Source organism: Homo sapiens, chromosome 10 (assembly GCF_000001405.40).
Source record: "Homo sapiens chromosome 10, GRCh38.p14 Primary Assembly".
Taxonomy (NCBI): Eukaryota; Metazoa; Chordata; class Mammalia; order Primates; family Hominidae; genus Homo; species Homo sapiens.
In genome coordinates, this window is record NC_000010.11 from 73,952,447 (window position 1) to 73,973,270 (window position 20,824).

Genomic DNA, 20,824 nt, shown 5'->3' on the forward strand with positions numbered 1-20,824 from the left:
GCTGGAGTGCAGTGGTGCAATCAGAGCTCACTGCAGCCTTGAATTCTTGGGCTCAAGCAATCCTCCTTTCTCAGCCTCCCAAGTAGTTAGAATTACAGGCATGCACCACCATGCCCAGCTAATTTTTTTATTTTTGTAGAGACGGGGTCTTGCTATGTTGCCCAGGCTAGTCTAGAATACCTGATCTCAAGCAATCTTCCTGCCTTGGCCTCCCAAAGTACTGGGATTATAGGAATAATCCACCATGCCAGACCTCAATTTATTTTTGAAAAGATGTTTATGATATAATAAAAAAATAGATTCAGAACAGTATAACCCCAGTTATGGGAAAAATGTATACATATTTTTATTTTGGGGAAAAATATGTGTGTGTGTATATATATATATACATATATATATATACACACACACACATACACACACACACACTTTTTTTTGAGATAGAGTTTCACTCTATTGCTCAGGCTGGAGTACAGTGGCAGGATCTTGGCTTGGCTCACTGCAACCTCCACCTCCCGTGTTCGAGCAATTCACCTGCCTCAGCCTCCCAAGTAGCTGATACTACAGGCACGCCACATCACGCCTGGCTAATTTTTGTGTTTTTAGCAGAAATAGTGTTTCACCATACTAGCCAGGCTGGTCTCGAACTCCTAGCCTCAAGTGATCCGCCCATCTTGGCCTCCCAAAATGCTGGGATTACAAGTGTGAGCTACCACGCCCGGCCCTACAATATGTATACATTTCTTTAATTATCAGAGACAATAATGATGGTTTAATTTTCCTTTTTGACTATTTCCATATTTCTTTTTATTTAATATTCACTCATGCTTCAATAAATGTTCATTGAGCATCTGCTATGTGCCTGAGATGGTGCTTCTTCTTAAGCTCATAGTCTGGTGGGAAGACTCACAAGAAAATAATGTAGTTTGTGAGGATGTATAATACCAAATACTATGGGGTCATCCATCTGCCAGGAGGGTCCAGGGATGACCAGGGAAGGCTTCACAGAGGAGGTGCTGCTTAAGCTGAGTTTTGAGGAATGAGGAGGAGTTTGCCAGTTGGACTGGGTGAGAAAGGGCATTGCAGAAAAAAGAGACCATCTTGCATAAAGTACCTTTTATAACAATACAGAGGAGTGAAAGAGGACATCCTTTTCATGAACATTCAGTTGGTCAATGAGGCAGAAGCACAGTGGACATGGGGGGAAGATGAGCTGAGAAACAGACACTCTAGAAACAGTAAGGAGCCTTTGAGAGACCTTGTATGGAATGGAGTGCAGGCATTGTTGCCCCATTTAAGAGTTGAGAAAACTGAGTCACAGGTTAAATGACTTGCCTAAGGTCATGTTAGGAGATGAGGCCAAGCTGGAATGTAACTTGAGGGTTTTTATGCTTCCAACCACAGTGCTGGGCCAGGCCCTGTCCTCAAGATCCCTCTGATGTTCTGGCTTGAACCACTTCAAAGCTGTTAGGAAAGAAGAAGAAGGCTTACGCCACTAGGCTCTGACCACACTGGCCACACACTTGGAGCACCCTTGTATCCAAAGCCACAAGAGAGCATTTTCTGAGAGTCTTTCCCAGAAAATGGCATGTACACATCCAACCTTGAAGTTGGTGGGTACCCTTCAGAAATGATGAAGGAGGTGGATTTCCACGGCATCCTGCCGTGCTGGGGAGCTGCTTCCCATCCTTGCTGCCAGGATTAAGTGGCATTTAGGCCTGTTATTCCTCAGGACAGGGAGTCATGGATGTGGCAGGAGCTCAGATTGAGTGATTTATTTATTATTTTATTTATTTATTTATTTATTGAGACAGAGTCTTGCTCTGTCACCCAGGCTGCAGTGCCGTGGCTCGATCTCGGCTCACTGCAACCTTCGCCTCCTGGGTTCAGGCATTTCTCCTATCTCAGCCTCCTGAGTAGCTGGGATTACAGGCGCCTGCCACCACGCCCGATTAATTTTTGTATTTTTAATAGAGACGAGGTTTCACCATGTTGGCCGGGCTGGTCACTCCTGACCTCAGGTGATCCACCCACCTCAGCCTCCCAAAGTGTTGGGATTACAAGCATGAGCCACTACGTCCAGCCTTATTTACTTGTTTGAGACAGAGTCTCGCTCTGTTGCCCAGGCTGGAGTGCAGTGGTGCAATCTTGGCTTACTGCAACCTCACCTCCCAGGTTCAAGCGATTCTTCTGCCTCAGTGGGGATTGCAGGTGTGCACCACCATGCATGGCTTTTTTTTTTTTTTTTTTGGTATTTTTAGTAGAGACAGGGCTTCACCATGTTGGCCAGGCTGGTCTTGAACTCCTGACCTCAGGTGATTCACCCCCACTTGGCCTCACAAAGTACTGGGATTACGGACATGAGCCACCATGCCCAGCCAGATTGAGTGTTTTATGATGCTGCATAGGCTTTGGAATAAGAAAGACCTGATTTCTCACCCTCACTCTAATGGCTAAAATGAAAAGACTGACAATTCCATGTGTTAACAAGGATGTAGAACAACTAGAACTCTCGTACAGGGCTGTTGGGAATATAAAATGGCCCAATCTCTTTGGAAAATTGTTTGGTGTACTTAATAAAGTTAAACATATTTCCCCCTAATAAGAATGTTCATGGCAGTGTTATTCAAAATAGCCTGAAACTGGAAAGAAAAATCTAAGTATTCAACAGGAGGATGGATAAATAAATTGGGTGGTAGATTCATAAAACGGAATACAATTCAGCATAAAAAAGGAACATACTGCTGGTACAGCAATGTGGGAAAATCCACAGACATACTATATGGAACAGAAGAAACCACATACAAGAATATGATTCTATTTTTTCTTTTTCTTTTTTTTGGGAGACAGAGTCTAGCTCTGTTGCCCAGGCTGGAGTGCAGTGGTGCAATCTCAGCTCACTGCAACCTCTGTCTCCTGGGTTCAAGTGATTCTCATGCCTTAGCCTCCTGAGTAGCTGGCACTACAGGTGTGTGCCACCATGCCCAGCTAACTTTTTGTATTTTTGGTAGAGATGGGGTTTCACCATGTTGGCCAGGCTGGTCTCGAACTCCTGACCTCAGGCAATCTGCCTGCCTCGGCTTCCCAAAGTGTTAGGATTACAGGTGTGAGCCATCACTCCTGGACAAGAATATGATTCTATTTACACGAAGTTCGAGAATAGGTAAAATTAATCTATGAGAATAGAGGTCAGAATATTGGTTACATTGGAGGCTAGGGGGAGTGAGTATTTGCTGGAAAGGGGCATGAAGGAACTCTGGAGTGTGATAGAAATAGTCTCATTTTGATCCGGGTGGTGGCTACATGGACATAATGGTATAAGTGTATACCACATATTATGTGGACAATTATGTGGACATGGCCTAATATATTACATAGTAGGTATATGTAAGTTATAGTTCAATAAAGTACTATGTGAGAGAGAAAGGAGGAGGAGGAAGAGGAGAAAGAAAGAAAAGAAAGAAAGGAAGAAAGAAAGAGAGGGAAAGAAAGAAAGTAAAAAAAAAATCCTGATTTTGATTTTGGTTTCCAGTTCTGCCCCTGTGACCCTTGGACAATTGACAACATTTCTGAGCCCCTTTCCTCACCCATAAAATGAGGATCACAGGCCAGGCTAGGTGGCTCACACCTATAATCTCAGCAATTTGGGAGGCCAAGGCGGGAGGATTGCTCAAAGCCAGGAGTTTGAGACCAGCCTGGGCAACAAAGTGAGGCCTGTCTCAACAAAATAAAAAAATTTTTAAATTAGCCAGGTGTGGTGGCATGAGCCTATAGTCCTAGCTACTCAGGAGGCTGGGGTGGGAGGATCCCTTAAGCCCAGGAGGTGGAGGCTGCAGTGAGCCCTGATTGCCTCGTTGGACCCCAGTCTGGGCAACAGAGCAAGTCCCTGTCTCTAAAATAAAATAAAATAAATAAATAAGGGATCCTAATAGTACCTCTCTCATAGGGTGGTTTGAGAGTCAAATGAGATAATGCACAAAAATCTCCTAGCCCAAGAGCCTGAAGCACCCTAAAAGTTCGGGAAACTGTATTCTTACTGTTGGCCCCTTACCTACCATCTCCTCCACCAGGAGCTGGCCCCTGAAGCCTCACCCCAAAAGAACGGTTTCTGCCCCCGGGTTATGTCAGGTCCTTAGGTGGAACTCTGAGTCCCACATCACTAAATGCTGACATGCCCGCAGAATCCAGGAGGCTCCAGTGACTAGAAAGAAGTTTCATCAAATTTGAACAGGAAGCAGCAGTGGCAGCTGATAATCTGTGACCTGAATATAGCTATCCATTATCTCACTGTGGTTTCTGGTTTCCCTGACAGAGAAAACGCCCACAACTTTCTTAAAGTTATTCTAAACACTCAGTTCCTTGTTTGGCTTTGGCAGGATAATGTTACCCCTGGGTGCCCCTGTGCTTTGGGCTGTGGCCTCCCTGCCAGCCTGAGGCTCCAGCTCTTCAGCCAATCTGTGGGGCAACCGTCCCTTCCACTCAGAGGGCAGTGACAGGAGCAGACCAGGAAAGAGGCCGCCAGTATCTGCAGCCATTGGAAGTGGGGGGGAAAAGCAAGAAACCTTAAATACAGCATTCTTGTTCCTCTTCAAGAAACCAGCCAGGCAGGACTGACATGCCGGGAGTGAGCCACCAGCTGCTTCTCACCATCACTGGTTTCTAAATTACGCTCCATTCCCAATTGCTTCTCTCTGGTTCTGTTCTCAGGAAAGCAAATCTGCCCTCCTAGTTCCTCCACCTCCAAATGAGGAGCTGAGCCCAGGCCCAGGACACAGGTTTGGCAGAAAAGCCGTTACCTCTTGTTATTGTAAAACCCAGAGTCCAAGAGGCTCCCAGACAATAGGCAAAGTAGGCAAAGTTTGTTTTTGCCTTCTCTTCCCCAGCCAAGCCCTGCTCACTGTTGTCTACCAAAGCTTTGATGACACCGTATCACTTATCACTACATCTTCTGAATTATTCATTCTGAAGAATTCAGGATTTCTTGTGTTCCCCCTCTCAGGAGTACTTATATGTTAAGAGAAACCTTGAGATAGTAATGCTTACTTAGAGGACCATGTCTCTGACACCTGTGTTTGGTAGGGAGGGGAGGGCTTTGGGCTCTCTCTGGCCCCCTGGTGGCCACCACTTCTCTGTTAGTGCTCCAGATGGAGATATGCGGATGACATGGCATGACTTTTAAAATATATATATATATTTTTCTTTTTTTTTTTTTTTTCTGAGACGGAGTCTCGCTCTGTTGCCCAGGCTGGAGTACAGTGGTGTGATCTTGGCTCACTGCAACCTCCACCTACCGGGTTCAAGTGATTCTCCCGCCTCAGCCTCCCCAGTAGCTGGGACTACAGGTACACCACCATGCCTGGCTGATTTTTGTATTTTTAGTAGAGACGAGGTTTCTCCATGTTGGCCAGGCTGGTCTCGAACTCCTGACCTCGTGATCTGCTCACCTCGGCCTCCCAAAGTGCTGGGATTACAGGCATGAGCCACCATGGCTGGCTAGAGTTTTTTTTTTTTAATTTCCTTTTTGTTTTTTTGAGACAAGATCTCACTCTTACTCTATTGGCCAGGCTCGAGTGCAGTAGCACCATCACGGCTCACTGCAGCCTCAACCTCTAGGGCTCAGGTGATCCTCCTGCCTCAGCCTCCCAAGTAGCTGGGACTACAGGCACACACACACACTGGCTGATTTTTTTTTTGTATGTTTTGTAGAGACAGGGTCTCCGTATGTTGCCTAGGCTGGTCTTGAACTCCTGGGCTCAAGCAATTTGCCTATCTCAGCCTCCCAAAATGCTGGGATTACAGATGTGAGCCACTGCGCCCACCTAAAAGATCTTGTAAAGATCTTTTTTTTTGTGTCTGGGAGCGGTGGCTCATACCTGTAATCCCAGCACTTTGGGAGGCCAAGGTGGGTGGATCACCTGAGGTCAGGAGTTCGAGACCAGCCTAGCCAATATGGTGAAACCCCATCTCTACTAAAAATACAAAATTTAGCTGAGCGTGGCGGTGGGCGCCTGTAATCCCAGCTACTCAGGAGGCTGAGGCAGGAGACTAGCTTGAACCCGGGGTGGGGCACGGAGGCTGCAGTGAGCCATTGTGCCACTGCACCTTCAGCCTGGGCAACAGAGTGAGACTCTGTCTCAAAAAAAAAAAAAAAAAGAGATAGTTTTTTGTTTGTTTTCTGAAGAGGAACAGGAAGGTGAAACTCCTGCAGTTTGGTTAGAACAAAATGGGGAAGCTGTCAAAGCAGGTGGCTGCAGAGCTCGGGAAGATACGGATAATGGCTGCTTTCACATGCCCCAGAGCTTGTGCTCAGAGCAAGAAGGCCTCCCAGGAAGGTCAGAGGAGTAAAGGGTCACTTAGGGATTCTGAGGCACAGTGGAAGTGATGCTAGTTGAGCAGAGATGAAACCAGACTTCTGAAGGCACAGCTCTGCCACCAGCTAGTTGAAAGCTGAGCAGTCATCTAACCTGTCTCAGGCTCATTCTCTTCACTTAAAATACCGCAGGCAGGAAGAATCACACTAAGATGTCGATAGTGGTCCTCTCTGGGTATAGAATTACAGGCGAGTTTGGTTTACTTTTTTTGGAGTGGGAGACAGGGTCTTGCTCTGTTGTCCAGGCTGGAGTGCAGCGGCGTGATCACAGCTCACTGCAGCCTTGATCTCCTGGGCTCAAGTGATCCTTCCACCTCAGCCTTCCAAGTGGCTGGGACTATAGGCATATGCCACTATGCCTGGCTAATTTTTTAACTTTTTGTAGAGATAGGGTCTTGCTATATTGCCCAGGCTGGTCTTGAACTCATAGGCTCAGGTTATCCTCCCTCCTCGGCCTCCCAGAGTGCTGGGATTACAGATGTGAGCCACTGTGCCTGGCCTGGTTTCCTTTTTTTTTGAGACGGATCCTGACTCTGTCACCCCAGACGGGAGTGCAGTGGTGTGATCTCAGCTCACTGCAGCCTCTGCCTCCTGGGTTCAAGCCATTCTCCTGCCTCAGCCTCTTGAGTAGCTGGGACTACAGGCGTGTACCATCACACCTGGCTAATTTTTGTATTTTTAGTAGAGATGGGGTTTCACCATGTTGGTCAGGCTGGTCTCAAACTCCTGACCTCAGGCGATCCACCCGCCTTGGTCTCCCAAAGTGCTGGGATTCCAGCCGTGAGTCACTGTGCTTGGCCATGGTTTACTTCTTAATGCCTATTATTGGTCAAGGCTTAATTAGAGAAGCAGAATTATCAGGCACGGCATAGAGTAAGATGTTTCTTGTGGGGTTTTGGTGTTATGCAATGTGGGAACTGGTTAAGCAGTTTGTATACAACAGTTGCTTCTGTTTCTGGTGCTGGGACTGAAGTCAGAAATAACAGGTAGACATGAAGTATGGGACAGTAAGGACCAGTGGGAGTCCAAAAGAACCAGAGGGCACCCACAGGATGAAATAGAGCCTGTATCAATGTCTCACTGCCTCTAAAACTTCCTACTTCAATTATGTGGGCGACCTGCAGGAATTGCTGAACCTTCATCATAAAGCTGAACACAGACCTGACTCAGGGACTGAAAATGCTGAAGGAAGATCTGTCATGGGAGCTGAAGGAGATGTAGGCTCAAGTCTATCCCATGGCCACAGGGTGAGCTAGCAGATCTGAGATACCATAAGTTAGAACGGCACCTGCCTCTACACTGACCTTCTGAGCATAAGCATGTTTGCTTCACCTCTGCCCTCCAATCTTGTGCAAATTTTCTGTGGCCAACCCTAGCCCAGAACCATACAGAGAAAGAAATTCTGAAAAACATAGTTTCAGTTTAGCTAAACTGACATAGTACAAAGCCACTATGTATTTGCCAAACCTTCTTCAATTAGCATGGTTTTGTTTGTTTGTTTGTTTGAGACAGAATCTCACTCTGTCACCCAGGCTGGAGTGCAGTGGCACTATCTGGGCTCCCTGCAACCTCCACCTCCCGGGTTCCAGTGATTCTCCTGCCTCAGTCTCCTGGGTATCTGGGATTACAGGTGCATGCCACCACACCTGGCTAATTTTTGTATTTTTTAGTAGAGATAGGGTTTCACCATGTGGGCCAGGCTCGTCTCAAACTCCTGACCTCAAGTGATTCACCCACCTCAGCATGTATTATTTTCATAACCAGGAGAAAGAACACCCTTTAAAACATCTCAAAATACCCAAATGGCTAATAAATATACAAAAAGACACCAATTCATTAATTGGCAAGAAAATGCAAGTTAAAATACAATAAGATATCCTTGTACATTCACCAGAATGGCTAAAATGAAAAAGACAGACAACACAGTATTGGTGAGGACATAGAGCAACTGGAACTTTCACATGTGGCTAGTGAGAATGTAAATTGCCAGTTTAGAAAACCATTTGACAACTATCAAAGTGGAACATATGCAAAAGGTGTGATAAGCAATTACGTTTCTAAAAAAATGCATGTTCATATACATAAAAACATCTATACGAATGTTTGGCTGGGTGTGGTGGCTCACGCCTGTAATCCAAGCACTTTGGGAGGCCGAGGCGGGTGGATCACGAGGTCAGGAGATCGAGACCATCCTGGCTAACATGGTGAAACCCTGTCTCTACTAAAAATACAAAAAATTAGCCAGGCGTGGTTGCAGACGCCTGTAGTCCCAGCTACTCAGGAGGCTGAGGCGAGAGAATGGCGTGAACCCAGGAGGCAGGGCTTGCAGTGAGCCGAGCCGAGATCGCGCCACTGCACTCCAGCCTGGGCGACAGAGCGGGATTCTGTCACCAAAAAAAACACGAAAAAACAATGTTCATAGTGGCACTATATGTAAAAGCTAAGAACAGAAACAATTCAAATGTCCACCAACAATAGAATGGATAAATAAATCATGGTGAATTCATACAATGGAGTGCTACACAGCAACGGGAATAAATAATGTATCACTAAGCACAACCACATGGATGACTATCACAACCATAATATTACATGGAAGATATCAGACACAGAAGAGCATATACTGATGGTTCCATTTATGTCAAGTTCAAAAATAGGTAAAATTAATCTATGCTGTTCACCCATGGATAAGAATTACCCTTGGGAGATTAGTGACTAGAAGGTGTCAAGAGGGGGCTTTTGGGGTGCTCGCGATGTTCTGTTCCTTCCTTTAGGTATTAGTCACTCGGGAGTGTTTTGCCTTTTGCAAATTTATAGATATTTATGTAATTTGTATATGGTTTGTGCACTTTTCTGTATATATGTTATACCAACAAAAAGTTAATTAAAAGAAAAAATTAGTAGTCCCTGGTTCTGGTAACTAACAATAACTACTCATTATACCACAAGTTGAGGGGATCAAATACAAAAATGTGTATTACAGTGTTTGGAGAAACAACTGGGGAATACATAGATGTAGGGACAAGGAAAGAGAATAGAATGTTGAACCTGGTTTGGTATTGAACCTGGTTTTTTGAGTTTTTTTTTTTTTTGAGACAGAGTCTTGCTCTGTCGCCTAGGCTGGAGTGCCGTGGCATGATCTCAGCTCACTGCAACTTCCGCCTCCTGGGTTCAAGTAATTCTCCTGCCTCAGCCTCCTGAGTAGCTGGGACTACAGGCGTGTGCCACCATGCCTGGCTAATTTTTTTGTATTTTTTAGTACAGACAGGGTTTCACCACATTGCCCAGGCTGGTCTCGAACTCCTGACCTCATGGTCTGCCCACCTCGGCCTCCCAAAGTGCTGTGATTACAGGCGTGAGCCACTGCAGCCTACCTTGAACCTGGTTTTTACAAATTGTAGTAAAATACACATAACAAAATTTAGCATTTTGTGATATCTTTTTTTTTTTCCAGAGAAAGTATGTGCTTGTGTGTGTGTGGCAGGGAAGTGCTGGTTAGTGGGAAGTGGGAAGGAAAGATGGGTTTCCCTGAGTCCCTAACTAGCTTCTGTCATGGCCTGCCTTGATGTGACAAGCATTCGCTCTGCTTGCTCAGCTAAGGTTTCATGACCAGGCAGGGAAATGCCACTGCCCTTTAAAGTGAGCCCCTCCATTAGCTAAGGGTGGTTCTCCATCCCCCTGAAGCTAGGCTGGCCCAGATGACAGGAGCTCCTGTGAGGTCCAGAAGTGCCATTGAATCCAGGTTTTGCTACAGTAACTTCGCTCCCCCAACTCCCAGAATACACATATACAACCTGGCCTGTGTCCATCTTTGTCCCCAAAGCTTCCCTCCTCATCAGCAGCCATGAGAAAGACAGGATTATAAATGCACCAAGGGCTTTAAATGGGACTACAGTAGTAGGATCAGTTTTGCTCTCTGAGTGATGGCATGCCTGTGTCTTCTAGGCTCACTGGGGCAAGTGGTTCTTTACTTGGCTCCAGCACCAGCACCATCTGGAGGGGCAAAAGAACCCACAACGCTTTTTTTTATTTTTTTTTTTTTGAGACGGAGTCTCGCTCTTTCGCCCAGGCCAGAGTGCAGTGGCGTGATCTCGGCTCACTGCAAGCTCCGCCTCCCGGGTTCACGCCATTCTCCTGCCTCAGCCTCCCAAGTAGCTGGGACTACAGGCGCCCACCACCTCGCCCGGCTAATTTTTTGTATTTTTAGTAGAGACGGGGTTTCACCGTGTTAACCAGGATGGTCTCGATCTCCTGACCTCGTGATCCGCCCGCCTCGGCCTCCCAAAGTGCTGGGATTACAGGCATGAGCCACCGCGCCCGGCTTTTTTTTTTTTTTTTTTTTTTTTTTTTTTTGAGACAGAGTCTCACTTTGTTGCCCAGGCTGGAGTGCAGTGACACCATTTGGGCTCATTGCAACCTCCACCTCCCGGGTTCAAGCGATTCTCATGCCTCAGCCTCCCAAGTAGCTGGGATTACAGGCATGTGCCACCACACCTGGCTAATTTTTGTTTTTTGTTTGTTTGTTTTGTTTTGTTTTGCTTTTTTGAGATGGTGTTTCACTCTTGTCGCCCAGGCTGGAGTGCAATGGTGCGATCTTGGCTCACTGCAACCTCCGCCTCCCAGGTTCAAGCGATTCTCCTGCCTCGATCTGCCAAGTAGCTGGGATTACAGGCATGTGCCACCACGCCCTGCTAATTTTGTATTTTTAGTAGAGACAGGGTTTCTCCATGTTGGTCAGGCTGGTCTGGAATTCCCGACCTCAGGCGATCCGCCCGCCTCGGCCTCCCAAAGTGATGGGATTACAGGTGTGAGCCACTGCGCCCAACCAATTTTTGTATTTTTAGTAGAGTTGGGGTTTCGCCATGTTGGCCAGGCTGGTTTCGAATTCCCGACCTCAGGTGATCCGCCCACCTTGGCCTCCCACAATACTCCCAGAGTACTGTGAGCCATCGTGTCCAGCCTTGCAACTCTTAAATATGCTCGTGGGAGCAGAAGCTATGCTCCCTGACAGAAGAACCTGTCCCTCACAATGCAATTGGAGAGAATTTATTGAGTGCTTACTGTGTGCTTGGGATGGTGCATCCAGCAAAACACCTGAGCCTCTTGGAGACCAGGAGAGTGGACTCAGTCCCAAGTGCAGATTCCTTGAGCTAGAGCTTTTAAAGGAGAGGAGAAATCGGATAAATTGCACTGGACAATTCATTCACTCTCTTTCTGGAGGTTTAACCAACCCTAGATTTTATTCTACTGAAATCAGGATAAAACCAGGCATATGTGTATAAAGAGAGGTCTGGAAGCATGATAACAATGATTATCTTTAAGTAGTGGGTTGCAGTTGATATTTTTCTATTTCTTGTACCTCTCAAGGCAGCACATGTAGCTGACGCACACAACCTTTGGAGAGCAACCACCTGGGTTTATTTTTTATTTTTATTTTTTATTGAGATGCAGTCTTGCTCTGTCACCCAGGCTGGAGTACAGTGGCATGATTTCAGCTCACTGCAACCTCCACCTCCTGGGTTCAAGCAACTCTCCCACCTCAGCCTCCTGAGTAGCGGAGATTACAGGCGCCCACGACCCGCCTGGCTAATTTTTTTGTATTTTTAGTAGAGACAGGGTTTCACCATGTTGGCCAGGTTGGTCTTAAACTCCTGACCTCGAGTGATCTGCCCGCCTTGGCCTCCCAAAGTGCTGGGATTACAGGCGTGAGCCACGGCGCCCAGCCTACCACCTGGGTTTAAATCTCAGCTTTGCATGTACTAGCTGTGTGGTCTTGGGCAACTTACTTCACTTGTATGAATTTTAATGTTCTTACCTGTAAATAAGGATGATAATATACTTACTTCATAGGGATATTGAGAAGTTTGAATTAAACTATGCATTTTTTTTTAAGAGTTAGGGTCTGGCTCTGTCACCCAGGCTTGAGTGGTGTGCCCCGTCATAGCTCACTGCAGTCTTGAATTCCTGGGTTCAAGCAATCCTCCTGCTTCATCCTCTTCAGTAGCTGGGACTATAGACATGTGCCACTATGCCTGGCAAATTTTTTCTGCTTTTTGTAGGGATGGGGTCTCACTATGTCGCCCAGACTTGTCTCAACCTTCTAGCCTAAAGCCATCCTCTTGCCTTGGCCTGCCAAAGCTTTGGGATTATAGACATATGCCATGGCCCCTGGCCAAAATGATGCACATTAAGTGCTTTAGTATGGTGTCTGATGCAAAGAAAATGCTTTAAATGGGAATGATTATTATTATATTTTTATATCATTGGGTTGTTTTTCTTTTCTTTTCTTTTTGAGATGGAGTTTTGTTCTTGTTGCTCAGGCTGGAGTGCAATGGAGCAATCTCGGCTCAACGCAACCTCCACCTCTGGGATTCAAGTGATTCTCCTGCCTTGCCTCCCAAGTAGCTGGGATTACGGACATGCGCCATCACGCCCTGCTAATTTTGTATTTTTAGTAGGGACGGGGTTTCTCCATGTTGGTCAGGCTGGTCTCGAACTCCCGAACTCAGGTGATCCGCCGCCTTGGCCTCCTAAAGTGCTGGGATTACAGGCATGAGCCACTGAGCCCAGCCTTTTTTTTTTATTTTTATTTGAGACAGAGTCTCACTCTGTGGCCCAGGCTGGAGTGCAGTGGGACAATCGTGACTCACTGCAACCTCTGCCTCCTGGGTTCAAGCAGTTCTTCCTGCCCCACCCTCCAGAGTAGCTGGGATTATAGGCAACTGCACCACCATGCCCAGCTAATTTTTTTATTTTTAGTAGACACGGGGTTTCACCATGTTGGCCAGGCTAGTCTCGAACTCCTGACCTCAGGTGATCCACCGGCCTCAGCCTCCCAAAGTGCTGGGATTACAGACATGAGCCACTGTGCCCAGCCCCAATAAAGGTTTTTTAAGGAGAAGAAGCACAAGGACGGCACAGAAGGGAAGAGAGTTTGCGGGGGTGGAGGGGCTCAGCCATAGCAGGAGGGGGAGGTGGAATACTGCCCCCTCCCTCCTGGTTCAGACACAAGAAAAATGACCCCAATCGCTGTGTTCTGGGACAGCTCTATTTCTTAGAGAATCCTGGGGCACCCTGGCTACCAGGAGGTTTCTCACCTGGTTCAGGGTGACCCAGCTAGCCCAGCACAAGGCTTGTATCATCTCGTCCAATTCAGAAGTGCTGTGCCTGTGAGTACTGCTCTAAACGCCTCTAAAGGTCAGTCCCTCTTTGGCCCCTGATGCTGGGGATACGTTTTACTTTCAATCAGACATTCACTACCATGACATAATCAAGCTAACTCTAGAAAAGTGCCTTGGGATGTTGGCCTCCCTTCCCTTCCCTGCAGTTGTTCCTTCTCCTTTAAGTGGCTGCTGGCTCTGGCCCTCCCCGCACACACCACAGGTTTTGCCTTTTGTCACACTGAGCATGCCTCCTGCACCCTTGCTGGGGCACAGATTCTCCCATATTTGGGAGTAAGCCGGAGACTCGGCGGCATGTGGGTTTCTGTTTAAAATTCCAAAGCCAGCAGGGCGTATATTATCCATTTCCTCAAATCCAACATGTTGTAAAGCATGAGTCAGAGTCGGATAAGCTTCTTCCCAGGGGAAGTTGTGTCAGTTGGTTAGCGAATGTAATTAAACACAGATAATGTTCACTGGCATTAGCTGCAGATTAATGCAGAAGAAAACAAAATATCCATCTTGATTTTGCAATATTCCTGCCAAGATAACACAACTTCTCCAAGTTTCCCTGATCAGAGAAAGCAGCCTAACTTTCAAGCAATTTGAGGGGCACAGGAAGCCCATTCAATCAACACTCTCCTTCCCACAGAAATGAAGAATGCAGGCCGGGCGCAGTAGCTCATGCCTGTAATCCCAGCACTTTGGGAAGCCGAGGCGGGTGGATCTCCTGAGGTCGGGAGTTCGAGATCAGCCTGACCAATATGGTGAAATCCCATCTCTACTAAAAATACAAAAATTCGCTGGGCTGTGGTGGTACTCAGGAGGCTGAGGTGGGAGAATCGTTTGAACCCAGGAGGCATACGTTTCAGTGAGCCGAGATCGCACCACTACACTCCAGCCTGGGTGACAGAGGGAGACCCCATCTCAAAAAAAAAGAAAAAAGAAATGAGGAATGCAGATTTTAGGACCTTTCACGGGGAAGCACATATATTCAAATTATTCTTAAGGTATTTTTGTGGGGAAGGGGGTTACATGTTAGCTAATATCAATAAGAGTTATTTTATCTGATTTAATTCATCATCATCACCCGGGGCCAGGTGGTGACAGCAGACTTCAGGTATGGAGGGTATTAGGCTTCTTATGCTTTGCATACCAATGGGGCTTTTAGGGGTTCGCTCCAGGACCCAGGAAGGGCTGAGCTCTGGAAGGGCTGAGGGAGCAAAAGGACCAAGAGGGAAGTCAGGGTGGGTCTAGAGGGCACTGGAAACCCATGTGTTCTTTTGCATACCCAAGCCTAGAGAAGCCCTTTCCACAATCATGGAAATCACAAAATAGAATGCCCATACTGGGAAGGGGCCAGGCGTGGTGACTCATACCTGTAATCCCAGCATTTTGGGAGGCCAAGGCAGGCGGGTTGCCTGAGCTCAGGGTTTGAGACCAGCCTGGGCAACATGGTGAAACCCCATCTCTACTAAAAAAAAAAAAAAAAATACAAAAATTAGGCAAGTATGGTGGTGCACGCTTGAATCCCAGCTCCTCGGAGGCTGAGGCAGGAGAATCGCATGAACCTAGGAGGCAGAGGTTGGAGTAAGCCGAGATTGCACCACTACACTCCAGCCTGGGTGAGACTCCGTTTCAAAAATAAAAAGAATGCCCCAATACAGGGAAGGCCGTTGGAGGTCATTTAGTCAACTCCTCTTCAGACACCAGCACACTGAGGCCCAGAGAGGTTAAGTCATTTGCCCAAGTTCACCCTGCAAGGGGAGAGTTGAGACTTAAGTTTTCTCTTTTCATCTTTCTAACAAGCTGCTGCTGGTCACAGTTTCCAAGAGTGACAGGAGCGGACACTCAGGTCGATCCCACTGGCCCACCCTGCAAATACCTACTTGGTCTTGTATTTTCAAATGTAACCTCTCCTCAGGGTATTAAAAGCAATGCTAAATCATACCCAAGGAAGTATACTGTCCTGCCACTCAGGCCTCTTCCAACTTCAATGATATGAACAATCTAAAAATGTGTATTTTCTTAACTCTAGTAAAAAGTGTGCTAAATTCCATATAACTGAGATTCAAAGCTTATTGCTAACTAGAACAGCTTCTGGGGTTAAAGAAAAAGGAATTCGTGAATGTTCTTTTAACTCTCTGAGCATTGCCCTGCCCCCACCACCTTCCACTTGAAGGGAAGTAGCTAGGAATATACCGGATCTTTTTGGTGTTTGGCTGGGTTTTAGTGTTTTCGAGTGCCCCTTCTGATGTAGGTCAAGGCATTTTGTTTATCTTAAATGTGAGATTGTATTCTTTCTGCCCAAATAGGATGGAAAAGACTTTTCCAAATAAGGAAGTTTTGCCAGAGTGTGTGTGGCCCAGTTAGCAACTGTTGCCGCCGTCCTCACTTAGGGGAGTACAGTAGCTCCACTAAGCTGGAAAGCATTTAGGGACTTATTAGCACTTCTGCACAGCCAAACCACTGAGGGGCGGGGGTGCTGCCAGCAAGTGGTTGTGACAACCAGGGACATGAAAAAAATGTGTAGAAAAGACAAAGTTTGGCTTTTGCATACACCCCTACCCTCTCTACCTCCTTCCCAGCCCGAGTTGGCTCTCAACTCAGGATAGAAGGAGGATGCTCTGATTCTCTAGAATTAAGTAAATTTAGGGTAAAATCCCAGCACTACACATACAATCTGCTAAATGGCCTTCAGTAAGTTACTTTTTGAGCCTTTTCCTTTCTTTCTGAGTAAAAATAATAGTGCTTAGCTCATGTAGTTGTTATGAGGAGTAAATAACCTAATCAAAGTAATGCATGTAGCACATTCTAGATTGACCCTAAAATTACTCCTTTCCTATCCTTTTTCAGTACCTTCTCCACTATCAGAACCCCTTAGTTTGTGCTGATTGTACTTAAACAGAGATTAAGAGGAACAGGAAAGCTTGTATTAATTTATGCTCAGAGGCCAGGTGCAGTGGCCCACGCCTGTAATTCCAGCACTTTGGGAGGCTGAGGCGGGCGGATCACCTGAGGTCAAGAGTTCAAGACCAGCCGGGCCAACATGGTGAAACCCCGTCTTTACTAAAAATACAAAAAATTAGCTGGTCGTGGTGGCGGGTGCCTGTAATCCCAGCTACTTGGGAGGCTGAAGCAGGAGAATCACTTGAACCTGGGAGGCGGAGGTTGCAGTGAACCAAGATCAAGCCGTTGCACTCTAGCCTGGGCAACAAGAGTGAAACTCCATCTCAAAAAAAGAAAAAAAAAAAAGAAAAGAAAACTAATTTATGCTTAGGTGTGAGTGACTAAAATAAGACATTTATTGGCCCATCTGCACTTGTAACTGCTGTGAACAGGGATGCTGTTTCAAGTGAAATGGAAAACTTTGTTGCAACATGGAGGGGTAATGGACTAAATGTTTATGTTTCCTCACAATTCATCTGTCAAAGCCCTAACCCCCATTGTGATGGTATTTGGTTGGAGATGAGGCTTTTTGGTGGTAATTAGGTTTAGATGAGGTCATGAAGATAGGGCTCCCATGATGAGATTAGTGTCCTTATAAGAAGAGGAACAGAGAACAGAGCTTGCTCCCTGGCAGTCGCTCCCTCCAGCCCACAACATGTGAGGATACATCGAGAAGGTGGATGTCTGTAAGAGGCAAGGAAGAGAGCCCTCACCGGGGAACTGAATTAGCCAACACCTTGATGGTGGAGTTCCCCACCTCTAGAAGTATGATAAATAAGTTCCTATTGCTTAAGCCACCCAGTCTTTGGTATTGTGTTATGGCAGGCAGCCAGGGACTGCATAGGTCTACGACGAGAGGACATATTGCAGTCTCCTTTCATTTATACCACTGTGCCTAAGTCCATCTACCCCTGAGGCCTACACAGTCACTTACGGTGAGAAGAGGCAAGTGTGCCATAAGAGGCTAAAGGAATCTGGAAACTTGATAAGCAGAATTACTCTTTTTCTTTCTAGACAGAATACTAATAGTCTTATTTTTTAAAACTGTGGAAAAACACATACTCTTTTAGATTGCTAAATTTGGATTGTGATATAGAGAGAAACTTTGACTTTGACAGAAGTTTCTTACCTGAACAGCAAAAGCCTGTTCCCAAGTCCATAGCCAAATGGAACATCAATTAACCCCAGACCAAGTAAATGTTATAAGTAGCCTTGATGTAAAATGGTGCAGCCATTTTTGAAAACAGTCTGACAGTTCTTCAAAAGGTTAAATGTAGAGTTACCATGTAACTCAACAATTCTACTCCTACATATATACCCAAAGGAAATGAAAACATGTCCACACGAAAATTTTCACACAAATGTTTATACCAGCCTTATTAACAATAGCCAAAAAATGGAAACATCCAACTAAATGCCCATCAACTGATGAACAGATAAACAAAATGTGATCCATCCCTACAATGGAATATTATTCAGTCTTTTTTTTTTTCTTTTTGAGATGGAGTCTCACTCTGTTGCCTAGGTGCAATGGTGCGATCTTGGCTCATTGCAACCTCCGCCTCCTGGGTTCAAGTGATTCTCCTGCCTGAGCCTCCTGAGTAGTTGGGATTACAGGCACGTGCCACCATGCCCGGCTAATTTTTGTATTTTTAGTAGAGATGGGGTTTCACCATGTTGGTTAGGCTGGTCTCGAACTCCTGACCTCATGATCTGCCCACTTTGGCCTCCCAAAGTGCTGGGATTACAGGCGTGAGCCACTACGCCTAGCCTTTATTCAGTCTTAAGATGGATGAGTACTGATTACATGCTACAACATGGACAATCCTTGAAAACTTCATGCTAAGTGAAAGAAGTCTGGCACAAAAAGCCACTTAGCATATAATGCCATGTATACGAAATGTCCAGAATAGGTAAATTCAAAGACACAGAAAATAGATTAGTGACTGTAGGGGCTGGGAAGAAAAGGGGAATTATTGCTAATGAGTATGAAATTTCCGTTGCTGGGTAGTGAAAATATTTTAAAATTGTGATGTTGGTTGCACAACTCTGTGAATATACTAAAAATCATTAAACTGTATACTTTAAATGAATGAATTGTAGGGCATATAAACTATATCTCAATAAAGCTGTTACACACACATATAACACACAAAGAAAATCTGGAACATAGTACTTATTACCTTGTAGGTACTTACAAGTTGATTGGTTAAAAGGCTGCAGGTCTCCCTAGGAATGGAAAATGGCCCTGGTACCCCGTTTGGAGCTCCTGGTGAGTGGCCACTGCTGGGGCTAAGCATGGGTGGGAGGAGCCAGGGCAAGGGCCTCACATGCTCATCATTTGTACTCCTGTTCTTTTGGCCAGAAATATAAATAAAGCATGAGAAAACAGGCCACAAAATAGATTTGAGTATATTTTAATAGTTATTTCTAGTATTTCTGTTGTTTCTTCTTAACAATCTAATTTCTCTTTAAGCCCTATAAATAGAACAAGCCTTATTAGAAGGATATCATTATTTAAGATTGGAGTCACTACAAAAATCATATAATTACTAATTCCACAGGCAGTGAATTAAAATGGAATACTCAAATCAGCTATAGAGAAATGAGACAGAATCTTTGGCAAGATGCTAGATTATTAACAGATTTCTTTTGCATGGAAACAAAAAGGCTTAAGGGTCAGAAAGGAGTTCGGTTAGAATTTCTTCACTTCAAAGGTCCAAACTATCAATGGAGAAATAAAATTAACTCTTTGTAGACTACACAATTAATATTCATCTCAGGATCAATTTTTGTGAAAAATGGCACCACTACTTCATGAATTATTTTTTGCCCAGGAAATTCTCCCTCCTGATTTGTAAAATGGAAAAGAATAACTAAAGCATGATACAGGCTTTAAGTAAGCAGTCTCCATTTCCTCAGTAAATCTAAAACACAGACAGCAAGGAAACAGGGTCAAAGCACTATTTTCCAGCTTAAAGCACAATTTGGTAACGTAAGAATGCATTTACATTAGTAAATACACAGAATTAAGGTTGATTTCATGCATCTTAAAATTATTTTTTAAATTACAAAAGCAATGCATGCTCATTATAAAAATGCAGCAGTGTGTAAATTATTAATAATAATTACTTTTTTTTTTTGAGACAAGGTCTTGCTCTGTTGCCCATGCTGAAGTGCAGTGGTGCAATCATGTCTCACGGCAGCCTTGAACTCTTGGACTCAAGCAGTTCTCCCACCTCAGCCTCTCAGTGTTGGGATTACAGGCATGAGCCACTGTGGCTGGCCAATAATTACTATTAGTGAACATTACAATGTGCTGGTCACTGGGTTTAGTGCTATCTGATTCAATCCTCACAACAATCTTATGAGGTAGTTATATTTTTCTCCATTTTATAGACAAAGAAACTGAAGCTCAGAGAGTTAAATAAATTGCCTAAGGCAAACATCTTGTAAGAGGTAGAATCAGGATTTGTTTTGTTTTGTTTTGTTTTGTTTGAGACAGAGTCTTACTCTGTCACCCAGGCTGTAGTGCAGTGGCACAATCTCAGCTCACTGCAACCTCTGCCTCCCGGGTTCAAGCGATTCTCCTGTCTCTGCCTCCCAAGTAGCTGGGACTACAGGTGCGTGCCACCACACCGGCAAATTTTTGTATTTTTAGTAGAGACGGGGTTTCACCATATTGGCCAGGCTGGTCTTGAACTCCTGACCTTGTGATCCACCCGCCTCGGCCTCCCAAAGTAGAATCAGGATTTTAAACTATGCAGTTTCACTTCACCATCTAAGCTCTTAAATTCCTTTATACCTTGAGTGAAAGTTCCTATTAACTTCTTCTCCACTTTCCTCGCCCCACATTAACTATCACTTACTGTTCTCCATATATCAGAAAGATAAAAGTTTAATGATTGGAAAATAATCATTGACTTTCTCATAAAAATATCAATTTGGCTGGTCGCAGTGGCTTACGCCTGTAATCCCAGCACTTTGGGAGGCCTAGGCAGGCAGATCACCTGAGGTCAGAAGTTGGAGACTAGCCTGTCCAATATGGAGGAACCCCATCTCTACTAAAAATACAAAATTAGCAGGGCGTGGTGGCACATGCCCGTAATCCCAGCTACCCAGGAAGCTGAGGCAGGATAATCTCTTGAACCCGGGAGGTGGAGGTTGCGGTGAGCCGAGATCGCGCCATTGCACTCCAGCCTGGGCAACAAGAATGAAATTCCGTCTCAAAAAAAAAAAAAAAAAATCAATTCATGGACCTATGTACATACCCAAGAGGAATGAAAACACATGTCCATACAAAAACGTGTACATGAATGGCCAGGTGTGGTGGCTCACGCCTGTA

At 45.3% G+C, this 20,824-nt stretch overlaps 10 annotated features.

The window, feature by feature from the left end:
- Positions 4,175–4,274: an enhancer, noted in NCBI's record as "active region_3585". NCBI's record gives its function as "activates an Ori minimal core promoter by ATAC-STARR-seq in GM12878 lymphoblastoid cells {active_cell/tissue: GM12878}" and the evidence as "EXISTENCE:reporter gene assay evidence [ECO:0000049][PMID:35858748]".
- Positions 4,462–4,969: an enhancer, noted in NCBI's record as "H3K27ac-H3K4me1 hESC enhancer chr10:75716666-75717173 (GRCh37/hg19 assembly coordinates)". NCBI's record gives its function as "activates a minimal SCP1, AML or CMV promoter by ChIP-STARR-seq in naive H9 embryonic stem cells {active_cell/tissue: H9 hESC(naive)}" and the evidence as "EXISTENCE:reporter gene assay evidence [ECO:0000049][PMID:30033119]".
- Positions 6,520–6,669: an enhancer, noted in NCBI's record as "active region_3586". NCBI's record gives its function as "activates an Ori minimal core promoter by ATAC-STARR-seq in GM12878 lymphoblastoid cells {active_cell/tissue: GM12878}" and the evidence as "EXISTENCE:reporter gene assay evidence [ECO:0000049][PMID:35858748]".
- Positions 7,445–7,739: a silencer, noted in NCBI's record as "tiled region #4338; HepG2 Repressive non-DNase unmatched - State 3:PromF, and K562 Repressive DNase matched - State 5:Enh". NCBI's record gives its function as "represses a minimal TATA promoter and a strong SV40 promoter by Sharpr-MPRA in HepG2 and K562 cells {active_cell/tissue: HepG2 | K562}" and the evidence as "EXISTENCE:reporter gene assay evidence [ECO:0000049][PMID:27701403]".
- Positions 11,653–15,523: an enhancer, noted in NCBI's record as "VISTA enhancer hs2142". NCBI's record gives its function as "enhancer in: hindbrain (rhombencephalon)[7/8] | somite[8/8] | midbrain (mesencephalon)[7/8] | forebrain[6/8] | heart[7/8]" and the evidence as "EXISTENCE:transgenic organism evidence [ECO:0001131][PMID:17130149]".
- Positions 13,545–14,129: an enhancer, noted in NCBI's record as "OCT4-NANOG-H3K27ac-H3K4me1 hESC enhancer chr10:75725749-75726333 (GRCh37/hg19 assembly coordinates)". NCBI's record gives its function as "activates a minimal SCP1, AML or CMV promoter by ChIP-STARR-seq in naive and primed H9 embryonic stem cells {active_cell/tissue: H9 hESC(naive and primed)}" and the evidence as "EXISTENCE:reporter gene assay evidence [ECO:0000049][PMID:30033119]".
- Positions 13,665–13,959: a silencer, noted in NCBI's record as "tiled region #8411; K562 Repressive DNase unmatched - State 5:Enh". NCBI's record gives its function as "represses a minimal TATA promoter and a strong SV40 promoter by Sharpr-MPRA in K562 cells {active_cell/tissue: K562}" and the evidence as "EXISTENCE:reporter gene assay evidence [ECO:0000049][PMID:27701403]".
- Positions 14,130–14,715: an enhancer, noted in NCBI's record as "OCT4-NANOG-H3K27ac-H3K4me1 hESC enhancer chr10:75726334-75726919 (GRCh37/hg19 assembly coordinates)". NCBI's record gives its function as "activates a minimal SCP1, AML or CMV promoter by ChIP-STARR-seq in primed H9 embryonic stem cells {active_cell/tissue: H9 hESC(primed)}" and the evidence as "EXISTENCE:reporter gene assay evidence [ECO:0000049][PMID:30033119]".
- Positions 14,716–15,300: an enhancer, noted in NCBI's record as "OCT4-NANOG-H3K27ac-H3K4me1 hESC enhancer chr10:75726920-75727504 (GRCh37/hg19 assembly coordinates)". NCBI's record gives its function as "activates a minimal SCP1, AML or CMV promoter by ChIP-STARR-seq in primed H9 embryonic stem cells {active_cell/tissue: H9 hESC(primed)}" and the evidence as "EXISTENCE:reporter gene assay evidence [ECO:0000049][PMID:30033119]".
- Positions 15,845–16,139: a silencer, noted in NCBI's record as "tiled region #295; HepG2 Repressive non-DNase unmatched - State 23:Low, and K562 Repressive DNase unmatched - State 5:Enh". NCBI's record gives its function as "represses a minimal TATA promoter and a strong SV40 promoter by Sharpr-MPRA in HepG2 and K562 cells {active_cell/tissue: HepG2 | K562}" and the evidence as "EXISTENCE:reporter gene assay evidence [ECO:0000049][PMID:27701403]".